Raw genomic sequence first — 12,481 nt, forward strand, 5'->3', positions numbered from 1 at the left:
CGCACTCAATATATGTCATTATAATATTTTAATTAATTAATAGTGCCTTTAATATGAATAAAGACTTAGGAAAGCAGATTTCAACACAGTCTTCTGGTACTGTCTATCCCTAGGGCATTAACATGATCCTCTTCCTTGGAGCTGAAGGTTTTTGGTGTGTGGCCCTCCAGAGCCCTCTCCACCCTCCTCTGCTCTGCTGACCCAGTGGCCTGGGAGGCTGACCTTCGTGGATTATTGCATCATATGGGTTCCCTTGGTCTCTGTTTCATTTTAGGGTTTGGCCAATGGAAAGTATCAGCAGAAATTAAGAGGATGAAAGAAAAGAGTGTGTTATTTATTCTCCAGCTCACCCCCTGTAGATTGGCAGTGGCTGCTTTCCTCTACCAAAGGGCCCAGTTAAGTCAGACAGCCTCTGCTAAACTATAAGTCTCTCTAGGTTCCAGTAAGTGCTCCCTTCCCTTGCCTCCTTAGGCCTGAGGATGGTCATGGCTCTCTGCAGCTACTGGCTCCAGAATGCCCCCCTAATCCTGCTTGCACCTTTGTAAATAGCCGCTTCATTAATCTTTCTTCAATCACTCCTTTGGAGTAAGCAATTAGTCTACTACATGGACTCAGATGACTACGCTATTTTTATTTTTATTTTTTGAGACAGAGCCTTGCTCTGTCACCCAGGCTGGAGTGCAGTGGCATGATCTTGGCTCACTGCAGCCTCTGACTCCTGGGTTCAAGTGCTTCTCCTGCCTCAGCCTCCCAAGTAGCTGGGATTATAGGTGAGTGCTACCACACCCAGCTAATTTTTGTATTTTTAGTAGAGACGGGGTTTCACCATGTTGGCCAGGCTGGTCTCGAACTCCGGACCTAATGATCTGCCCACCTTGGCCCCCCAAAGTGCTGGGATTACAGATGTGAGCCACAGTGCCCAGCCCAGATGACTACACTTTATGAGGGTGATGTTGCTGTTCTAGTCTCTTTCTAATGACAAACGGATCTTAAGTTGCTCAGGTGACTACATTTCAGTCCTTTTCTCTCATTGTCTCCACACTATCTTCTCTTCTCATTCCCCTCCCGTCCCGAGCTGTTCTCAGCAACAACTTTACTAATGTTTACCCATGCCTGTGCAAAAGCCAGCACTCCCAGAAAGTCCTAGCATTCTCCAATTCTCTACAAAAAGGGTCTTGGCTTTTGTTTTCTTTCAGAATATTTATATTTTAAGCATGGAGAGCTTTAAAAAAAGAATCAGCTACTAAATATTCTTTAAAATGACTATCCCACACCTGTCACCCTGTTTATTCTCAACACCCTATAAATGATACTGCTTTAGGCAAGACTGGTTGTGTGAGCATTTAACCAACAAATATCAGCAACTGGGAAGCCCATAAATAGCAGCAGAGAGGACAAACAGGATGACTCAGTAAGCCCTCTGAGTCAGACTGGCAGAGACTGACCTTCCTTCATAATTATGGGGCATTAAACCCGTCATCTGTGAAGTCACCTCCAAGTCTCATCTCACCAATATCATGCATCTAGTTTCCTTTGAAGATGTGCAATCTTCCTCCTTGTAGCTACTAAGAAATTAAAGTGCTTGGGCTGAGAGGGCTCCTGTAAGCTAATAGTCTATGTCTTCAGCAATTAACCCCTTTCTGAGATCGGCTGGTGTTCATGCTTTTAGCTGGTCCTAGTCCTGGCTTGGGCACCCTCGATTGTGAGTCCTCAGTCACTTCATCTTACTGAACTTCTTTCATCTATGATGAGATAATAAAACTTGCCTAGCTACAGAGTTGTCATGAAGATTAAAGTCAATTTGGCCAACTACATGACATTTTGGAAAAGGCAAACTATACAGACAGGAAATAGACCAATGATTGCCAGGGACTCGAGGATGAACAGGTGGAACACATCATATTTTTAGGGCAGTGAAACTATTCTCTATGATATTCTAATGGTGGATACATGACATTTTACATCTGTCAAGGCCCACAGACTGCACAACACAAAGATGAGCCCTGATGTAAACTGTGGACTTCATTTAATAATAATGTATCCATACTGATTGATCAATTGTAACAAATATACCTCAGTAATGCCAGATATTAATAGTAAAAGAAACTGCAGGGAGAAGAAAGTATAGGTAAGTGGGAATCCTCTTCACTTTCAGGCCAATTTTTATGTAAACCTAAAACCATTCTAAAAATAATTTTTTGTGACATTACCAGGCCAAAATGAATTAATTAATTTAATTTAAAAAGTAAAATACAAATAATTTTTTAAATCAGTTTGGATAAGATATGTGAAAGTATTTGACAAACTCTAAAGAGCTAAATAAACATAAGGCATAATACCCAAATGATCTTAAAGAACTTAATTGTGAAAGTTCGTTTGGGGATCTGACAAGTAGAGCCCCAGGTGATGTCTTAATTACCTGTCTCCATGCCTTCGAAGTTGGTTGAGATAGAAGGGTGGGTAGGACTTCTATGACCAGTTTGCCTTCACTGCTGACTGAAAAGATTTCTACCAAATCCAAATCATGGTACAAATATTCTACCCTTCACACAACTACTACCTCTTTGAAATTGCTCAGGAAAGTTTAATACACATACACACTACCTTTCAGCATGTTTCCTTTTGATTCCCTGTGGCTCTCACCCTGTCCAATATTTAGCAGTCATGTTTGATTAAGGTCACATTTTTCAGAGGTGAAAAAGCGATGAGAAGATTTCAGGATTAAGTTCAGGATTAAGTTCAGTTAGGTTAGGAAGGAAAATCTTTTCTCCTTGTAAGCCAGAGAATGCCTGACATAGACAAAGCTTCTTACAGTGTTTCGTTGTTGGGACTGGGGGGCTGAAAGGGTGGCTCTTGCTGGAGCCTGGAAAGCATTATCTCTGATGCCCACCATATCCGTGTCAGTTAGGGAGGATAAATTGTAGGGCAAGAGAGAGGACCAGTGGGGTCAAAAATTAGCATAGATCATACAGAAATGACAGACAGGGATTCAAACTCAAGACAGAGGAAGCTGTTGCTCAGGCCTTGCCAAGTGAGATTAGCTAGCTAATTTCAGCCAACTTATTCTGGGATAGTGGTGGTCAATTGCATTTCCTCTCCTGGATAATGCATGTACTTTTGACAAGAACCTTCAAAGCTTTTGAAAAAGATCTTCAGTGTTCATCACACAATGATCGTTGGAACTCTGTTCTAGGAGCTATTAATAGACTTAACTATGAAAAAAGAAGTTCTATGGTCAAATAACTAGGAAATGCTTAACATGATGGAGCCCTTTGTGAACAATTATGACACACATTCGCATGTTGCAGGCTCTGGGCAGCCTGCAGCTAAGAAAACTATTTAGTTTCGTTTAACTCCAACATGTCCCAGGTTTATGTGCACTTTGAGCACCTTTTACTGTATGCTTAGTAACATTTCCTTGAATACCAGCATAGGAAAAAATTGGTTTTAAAAAAGGAAGCAGGCTGAACACGGTGGCTCACACCTGTAATCCCAGCACTTTGGGAAGCCAGGATAGGCAGATCCCTTAAGGTCACGAGTACCAGCCAGCCTGGCCAACATGGTGAAACCCTGTCTCTACTAAAAATACAAAAATTAGCCGGGCGTGGTGGTGCATGCCTGTAGTCCCAGCTATTTGGGAGGCTAAGGCACAAGAATCACTTGAACCCAGGAGGCGGAGGTTGCAGTGAGCCAAGATCACGCAACTGCACTCCAGTCTGAGCAACAGAGCGAGATTCCATCTCAAAAAAAAAAAAAAAAAAAAAAAAGAAGCAACTAATGGTGGAAGTAAAGCCACCCTGACATGATAACAAAAGAGTCATTTTGGGGAAATGACCTCATAACAGCAGTTTCCCCACTCATCCAGAGGTGAGTTGGTGTACTCTCCATGTAGTGACAATAAATATATTTATTAAATAAATAAATCCTGTGTCCATGATTTCCCCACAACTCCATGTTAGATCCTGTTATCATCCATTAGGTATTGAAGTGCTCTCAGCCAAGGAGCACTCGGGGGTTAGTTCTAGATTCCGAGGTAATACTACCAGAAACTAGAAAACGAGGAGAAACAGGTGTCTGAAAAGAGAATCAGAACAGAGAACAGAATCTGATGCAAGGAACTGAAGAAAAGCAAGCTGCAAAACTGACATCTCTTGCACTGCCTCCACTCACTATCTGACTATGTAGACAGAAACATCTAGGTTTTAGGTTGGTGCAAAAGTAATTGCGGTTTTTGCCATTAAAAGTATATTTAAGAATTAACATCCCTAATGAAAGGTACTTGAAGTTTAAGCCACTCTAAATACTAATAAGATACATAGTGTTTGCACATAGAAGGATAGAAAAGCAGGCAATGAGAAAAACTTCTTTGCTGCATATAACTGTCAGTAAATGTGGAAGCTTAGTGGTTCGGAATCTAATAGTTGAGACCAGTTTTCAAAACCACTCCCAATTTCAGGGCGCAGAATGTCTTAGTAACACCCACAAGTTTCATCTAACGAATATGACTAAAGCCAGAAAGCAGCCCTGAGGTTTTTCCGCAGAGAGTCAGCCCTGCCTGGGTCATACATGCCCCTATGCAAAGTGGGCCCAGCAGCTGTCCCCTCCTGGTGCTCGCCCTGCGGGGGAGCAGAGCCAGGGTGGAAACCTGCTATGGGCAGAATGAGGCTGCGCTGGGCTGGAATGAGCCACTCCCTTAGAGAATCTAAATGAGGATAAAGAATTTCTGAACCAGCTAGGAGCCAAAACCCATCCAAGAATAGAAGTGGAAGGGACTCAAGCTTTTTAAGTTTCTTCCACAGCAATCCAGATTCCAACATTGTTTCTAAGGAGGCTTTTGTTTCCCTGGAGAACTCTAGTTTCAAAGTGGACTTTCTTGCACAAAGAGAGCTTCAATAAAATTGGTTGTGTGAGTGAGTGTTAAGTGTGAATTCAAAGAAGAATATTAGGCTGGGTCTCAGGCATACGTTACTACTACACTATGTATCGTATTAGTAATCAGAGTGGCTTAAACTTCAAGTACCTTTCATTCGGGATGTTAATTCTTAAACATACTTTTAATGGCAAAAACTGCAATTACTTTTGCACCAACCTAATACCTAGATGTTTCTGTCTACATCTCAGAAGCCAGAGGTGCCTCTTGAGAACACTGAGGTACCCTGACAAGGACCACATCCAGACAGGAAGAGCACACAGCACAGTGGCTGTGAGCGTGGGTTTTCCATGAGATAGACCTCAGTTAGAATCTCAGCCTCAACACTTACTAGCCATGCAGTCAGGGGAAATCTTGCTGTATGATCCTGCTGAGCCTTGGTTTCCTTAACTGTAGAGAGACTAAGAATCTCTAACTTACTTGGGGATTCAATGCAATAATATGTATCACAGGCCAGGCACGGTGGCTCACGCCTGTAATCCCAGCACTTTGGGAGGCTGAGGTGAGTGGATTGCTTGAGCCCAGGAGTTTGACCACCCTAGCAACATGGTGAAACGCCATCTCTACCAAAAATACACACACACACACACACACACACACACACACACACACCAGGCAGGCATGGTGGCACTTGCCTGTAGTCCCAGCTACTCGGGGGCCTGAGGTGGGAGGATCACCTGAACTTTGAAATTTGAGGCTGCTGTGAGCCAAGACGGTACCACTACACTCCAGTCTGGGAGACAGGAGTGAGACCCTGTCTCAAATAATTATAATAATACATGTAATATTTAGCATTTTACCTGGCATATCATAAGTACTTGATATATTGTAGTCATTATAAAGGTCAAATTTCTCTCCAGGACTGGGTTAGAAAATATGAGGAAAATAGATAAGTTCATAGAACTAATTAGGAAAGAGAGAAAGTTAAACTCTCCTATGACTTGATAAAATGTCTGTAGAAAAAGACAATTTCAGCAGGGTTGCATCAGATAAATTGAACCCATCCCCTGCCACATTTGTCCCTCGGCCTTTATATCCTCAGCATGACATTGAACTGATAGGACCAGAAGGTACTGGGAGAAATGTAAAGATGGGATGTGACTGAATTTGGGGTGGGTGATTTGCTTCGCAGGAATTCTTTGGTTTTTGGAGAAGAGGGCCAAACTGTGATTTTGTCATGAAGCTGTCATGAAACTGGCATTTTATGATCATTTTTAAACTTCCATTATAGTTTTAAATAAGTTCCTGGCAGTCTTCAACTTTTACAAAGTCTTCCTGGAAACAGGGTCAGAAAACGAAAAGGGTGAAGCCAAATCCCTTTCCCCTGACATTTGCTGTGCTACAAAACAGACCGGGGTCCCTCTCAAAGCTGGCTGCCCTTCACTTCCCAGTTCCCCTGATTCCTGTGTGCCATTCAGACACCCCACTGCAGTGCTTTCAGCCCACAGGATAGAAAGGAAAAGCTCATGGCTATTGCTATAAAGCACAGTTATAAGATCAATGGAACGGTTTTGAATGCATTTGCTTTCTAATGGGAATTTTTACAAGAGGGAAATAAAAGAGAAATTAGTTCAAATTTCCCTAGAGAGATGTCTTAAAGAAATCTGAGCCTTCCAAAATGCTACCAAAAAGCTTTTCTAAATTCTGCAAACGAAGCAAAATTGTTGTTAGTTAAATGCATAATGTTTATTATCACCAGCATATTAGTTTCAGAGCAAATTTACACCACAGTGGAGTTGTATTTTCATGTACTATGAGTATATTTTGTCAATCGTTAGGGTCCCTGCTAAAATCAAAGTAACAATATAGTAGGCCCATTTTAAAGAAGCTAGAAAACAGTTTTACTATTTTTTTATTGGTTTAGAAACTTGTGCTGTTGTGTTTTTTCTTTAATGATATCATTAAGTATCTGGCCAAATATCCCTGTCCAAGGAATTCAATCTTTAATTATTACATTATTTCCATGGGAATAAACACTGTCACTGAGTGTTACAACTTAGTTTCTAAAAGTACCTGGTGGCCAGAAGCCTGCTAGCCTCAGAGATATTTCCACAAGTTTAGCAGGGTCCAAACTAACTGAGTTACATCAGCTATTTATTGAAAGAGTCCCACCAAAATCTGATAAAAGGCCCATAAAGGAATCAGAATGTTTGCTTATTTGTCTGTTTAAAGTAGTGTCAGAGTAATAGATCAATACAAAATAGGGGCCGCCTATATTGTTCAAAGGAATAGTATATGAAAAAATGCTATTCTTGATCAAAGTACACCCCTAACATGATAACACATAAGAGAATCTGGAATTCTGAAACTATAAGAAATGGGGAGAGATAGGAAGTAAGCACAAAATAAGGAGAAACCATCAATAATCAGCTTTAGTTTAGCTGATCATTGAATGACAATATTTACTATAGTGTTTCCTGCCTTTGCTAGTTTAACCACATGTTCTGTTTTCCAATTCAAGATCAGGGCATTTTTACATTCACTTTAGGGAAATCATATGTCAAGAAACATTTACTTCTATATCCCAAAACATTCAGATTTCATGGTAAAAATTAACGTATATGACGTACATTTAGACAACAGCTACTGGTTGCCCCCTCCAAAAAAAGTCAAGGTGCCACAAAGACTGAGCTCTTGATGTGAGGAAAACAGTCATTATAAGCAGTCCTGTGGTCCCTGAGAAAAAGGATTCCTTCACTCTCTGAAGAGGGATTTATTTATACAGCATGAACAACTATCTGCTGAATTTTAATTCTGTCCTTTCTCAGAAATAAGTTTGGGCTCTGCTTTTAAAAACAAGCCCAGGAAATAACAGTTTTCAGGGGCCTGAAATCAGAAGTCTGCAGACTGCTGGCAGGAATGTTCAATATTCATATTCATTCTACAATCGACCTCATGTACCAGAAGGCTTTTCCTCAACTTGAAATCTCAGTGGTCCCTCAAACAAGTCTCAGCATGTGTTTGCCTCACACGTGACACTAACTCTTACTTTTGGACTGAAACAAAAGCCAAAGGTGAATCCTGGTGACTGTCAACACTCCAGGAATGACCCAGCATTGATTATGGGCTTCTTGGAGAAATTCAGACAAATATGAGAAAACAAATAGGGGTGGAGCCAGAATTTAGGGTGGTGGGGCACTGAGAAACTTTTTTTCTCATTTGCATATTTTCCATTATTGTTGTAACACATGCTTCATTCACAGGGTATGTGACAATCCAGAAGGACACCACTCTCCAGGATGACCTGTGTCTGAGCATAGAGTTTCAGAGACCAGGCCATTCACTTGGCACAGTTACCAAGAATGGTCTTTTGGAGTTTTTCAGAATGGTTGGAGTTTCTCAGAGATACGTCCTCATTGTTTGATTTTCTTACATAATATGTACTCCCTTGGTAATCACATCCGCATTTTTAATTATTAACTATATTCAAATCCTCTGGCCCCTCCACTGAGCACCAACGCTATATAGCCAACTCTTGTGGACATCCCCACTGCTGGTCCTACAGCCCATCACATTCAGCAATGCTCGCATCATCCCCCCTTTTCCCAAACCACTCCCCTTCCTGTCTGCTGCCTCAGCAAATAGCACTTCCATCCAGCAAAGCTCCTCAGCCAGACACCTGACTTTCTCTCCCTCACAACCACCCATGACCAAGCCTGTCAATTTCACCTCCTATTAATAATTTCCCCTGAACCAGTCCACTCCCCTCCATCTCTATCACCACCATCCTGGGGGAGGAGACCACTACCATCTCAAACCTATGTTACACACAGTCTTCCTAACTGAAATGCTGAGCATCTTCTAAAGCACTAGAACTTTCAAAGGCTCAATCCTACCTTTCTCACCCTCCTGCTCAAAACCTACTCCCACTGCCATTGTTCTAAACAAAACTCTTTTATGTGGCATGAAAGGCATTTCTTGATCTATCTCTTTTATCTCGAAAATCTCATCCCTTGCACTCCATAATCTAGTCATGCTACAACCTGGTCACTGTATTTTGATTACCTGTTTTAATTTTGGTTTTTGTTTGTTTGTTTGTTTTTCAGAGACACTGTCTTGCTATGTTACCCAGGCTGGAGTGCAGTGGCTATTCTCAATTATGATCATAGTGCACCATGGCCTCAAATTTCTGGGCTAAAGCCATCCTCCCACCTCAGCTCCAAGGACTACAGGCTCACACCACAACACCTGGTCCTCTGTTTACTTCTCTTTTTCCCCTACTAGGTTATAAACTCCTCCAAGGCAAGGATTTAGTCCTGCTCACAGTTGTAACATAACACCTAGCTCAGTGCCTGCACATAGCAGATGTTCAATCATTAAACTAAAATTTATTTCTCTCATAATTTTTTGTTAAGTTTTGGTGGTTCCAATTGAAAAAAAGACAACATGAATGAACATTAACAAATAAATAAAAAGCTCAGATGCGTGAGACCTGCCTGCATCCTTATAATAAAAGTTGTATTTCCTTCAAGTAATTTTTTCCTGTTTTACGTGAGGAATTAAATATATCAATGTGTCATAGTGTTCGAAAAGGAGAACTTTGCCCTTCAGGTAATACAACACCTAAAAAAGTTTTATGTCATTTGTATTAGAAAATGTCACATTCCTAGGCTGCTTAGATACTCAGGATTCATTAGCTATTTCTCATTGCAAGTGCCAGAAAAGTGCCAGAAATCCAACTCAATTAACTTAGACACTCCACCCTCACAAAAACGATAATCGGTTCATGTAATCCAAGAAAAGATTGAAAAACCAATACACAGAAAGGACAGTCATGCATTTAGGTCTCAGAAAGGACTCAAAACCAAGATTCAAAAGCTATCAGACTCACTGTGACTCTTCTCTCAAAAAAAAAAAAAAAAAAAAAAAAACCTGCATACTCTCACTAGTTCTCTCCACTCCATATGATGAGAAAAAAAAAATGCAACACAGTATTATTTTCTAGGGCTGCTATAACAACACACTAAAAACGAGTTGTCTTAAAACAACAGAAATCTATTGTCTTACAATTCTGGAGGTTAGAAGTCCAAGCTCAAGGAGTTGGCAGGGCACACCCACTCAGAGGACTGTCGGGGAGAATCCTTTCTGGCCTCTCCCAGCTTCCCATGTTTGCGGGCAATCCTTGACAGCCAGTGGCTTTTAGATGCGTCACTCCAGTCACATCACCATCTCCTCCCTGTATCTCTTCGCATGGTCTTCCTTCTGTGTGTGTCTGTCTCTGAGTCTAAATTTCCCTTTTTTATTATATAAGGACATCAGTCCTATTGATTAGGGCCTACTCTAATGACCTCATTGTAACTTGATTACATGTATAAACACCCTATTTCCAAATAAGGTCACATTCTGAGGTACTGGGGGCTAGGACTTCAACATACCTTTTTGCAGGAGACATAATTCAACTACAACAACGAATAACAACAGTTTCCAATATTTGCATCTAAAGTCTCCCCTACCAGAGGAAAAGTCTAGAAGTCCTTGACCTGGTTTGTGTGGTGTCCCCAACCCCTGGGCCAAACAACAGAGATGGGGGCAGCAGAGATCTATAAGAACACGATTGTTTCTGTAGTAGTCATATAGATGGGGAAAGTGGTACTATGGAACAGCTATGCTCACATCTGCTTCCCTTCTAGAGACAAGGAGATGGGTTAATGTTAGAGGGTAAAAAAAAGATACAGACACTCAGCAGAGTGACAGGTAAACATTCACAAGGAGAGGAGTGTTAGGAAAAAGATCAGGAAAGGAGTGTGTGCCATGACATATCAAATGTCTTCTTTAATATTGTAAGTGGGAAACAAAGCAAAGCGTTTGTTCAGTTTACTGCTGCTACAAATGAGAGATGCATTATTTTTCTTTTTCAGGGGTTATGGTCAACCCAATTTTCTCCCTACGTACAGCATTCCATTACATATATTTTGCTCCTAACTTATTTTATATTCCGGAGGTGAAAGCATATAATAACAAATCAGTAAAAACTGTGGCGACATTTTGGCACCAGAAATAAAGTTCTTTTTTAACATTATGAACTATGGCTAAACCAGGACAAAGGTGACTCAAAATTTCCTTAACTTAAGCTGGGTATGGTAGCACCTGCCTGTATTCTCAGCTACTCAGGAGGCTGAGGCAAGAGGAGAGGATGGCTTGAAGCCAGGAGTTCTAGGCCAGAGTGCACTGTGATCACACCTGTGAAGAGCCACTGCACTCCTAGGCAGCAAAGCAAGGCCCTGTCTTTAAAAAAAAAAAAAAAAAAAAAAAAGTTAAAAAAATTTCCTTTACTTAAAGGTTTGCATGATGACTATTTAGACATACATTGAAGCCAAGTGTGGAGGCTCACATCTGTAATCCCAGCATTTTGGGAGGTGGGGCAGGAGGATTGCTTGAGGCCAAAAGTTCATGACCAGCCTGGGCAACATAGCAAAATCCTGTCTCTACAAAAATTTTTAAAATTAGCTGGGCCTGGTGGCATGCGCCTGTAGTCCTAGCTGCTTGGGAGGTTAAGGCAGCAGGATCGCTTGAGCCCAGGAGTTTGAGGCTGCAGTGAGCTATGATTATGCAGCCTGAGTGACAGAGCAAGACCTTGTCTTTAGAAAAAATAAAAGTAAAAATAAAATAAAAATAAAAACATACATTGCAATTGTTCTAATTGTCAAATTTATTTGCTCCAAAATAAAACTGGGCAGGTCTATTTTGGATACCATTTAAACTCCACCATTAGAGAAACTGTGTTTTAAAGTATTTTTTAATTATAGAAAAAAAATTTGTTAATTTATAGACATTTTGGAAAAATCTATGAAAGACTGTTTAAAAAATAAAAGTCACCTATAATCCCATCACTAATTACCGTTAACATTTCAATATCTTAGTTGTTTTCTCTATTTACATAAGTACATTTTTAAAAACTTTACAGAGTTAGATTTATATTATACGGTTTTTGTTTTTTGTTTTTTTGAGACAGGGTCTCACTCTGTCACCCAGGCTGGAGTGCAGTGGCATGAACATGGCTCTCACTGCACCTCTGCCTCCTGGGCTCAAGGGATCCTTCCACCTCAGCCTCTCCAGTAACTGGAACCACAGGCATGAGCCATCACACCCGGCTAATTTTTGTATCATTTTGGTAAGGTTCTGCCATGTTGCCCAGGCTGGTCTCCAACTTTTGGGCTCAAGCAATCCTCTTGCCTAGACTCCCAAATTGCTGGGATTACAGACATGAGCCGCTGCACCCAGCCAGATACATATTAAACAGTCTTATGTCCTCATTTTTTCATTTTATATTTTGGAAATACCATGTTTAATCACAGCATAATATTCTACGGTATGCCATAATTCATATAAACACTATTTTATTGTTGGACATGTAGGTTGCTTATTTTTTTATTATAAGGATGTTCCAAATATATATATGCACAGTTTTATTGTAAGCATAGCTAATCACCCCTAAAAGAGATGCAAAGCTTTCGGCCATCACTAAGCAAATTTCAATTTATTCTATACAATCTGCCTCTAAAATGAGATAAAATATCAATCATCACAAGAAATATACCAAAATGCATACAT

General features: G+C 40.6%; 3 annotated features.

Annotated features, from left to right (window-relative positions):
- Nucleotides 4,125-4,626: an enhancer, noted in NCBI's record as "H3K4me1 hESC enhancer chr5:61532143-61532644 (GRCh37/hg19 assembly coordinates)". NCBI's record gives its function as "activates a minimal SCP1, AML or CMV promoter by ChIP-STARR-seq in naive H9 embryonic stem cells {active_cell/tissue: H9 hESC(naive)}" and the evidence as "EXISTENCE:reporter gene assay evidence [ECO:0000049][PMID:30033119]".
- Nucleotides 4,180-4,379: an enhancer, noted in NCBI's record as "active region_22593". NCBI's record gives its function as "activates an Ori minimal core promoter by ATAC-STARR-seq in GM12878 lymphoblastoid cells {active_cell/tissue: GM12878}" and the evidence as "EXISTENCE:reporter gene assay evidence [ECO:0000049][PMID:35858748]".
- Nucleotides 4,627-5,126: an enhancer, noted in NCBI's record as "H3K4me1 hESC enhancer chr5:61532645-61533144 (GRCh37/hg19 assembly coordinates)". NCBI's record gives its function as "activates a minimal SCP1, AML or CMV promoter by ChIP-STARR-seq in naive H9 embryonic stem cells {active_cell/tissue: H9 hESC(naive)}" and the evidence as "EXISTENCE:reporter gene assay evidence [ECO:0000049][PMID:30033119]".

The sequence above is a fragment of the Homo sapiens genome, chromosome 5 (genome assembly GCF_000001405.40).
Source record: "Homo sapiens chromosome 5, GRCh38.p14 Primary Assembly".
NCBI classification, from domain to species: domain Eukaryota; kingdom Metazoa; phylum Chordata; class Mammalia; order Primates; family Hominidae; genus Homo; species Homo sapiens.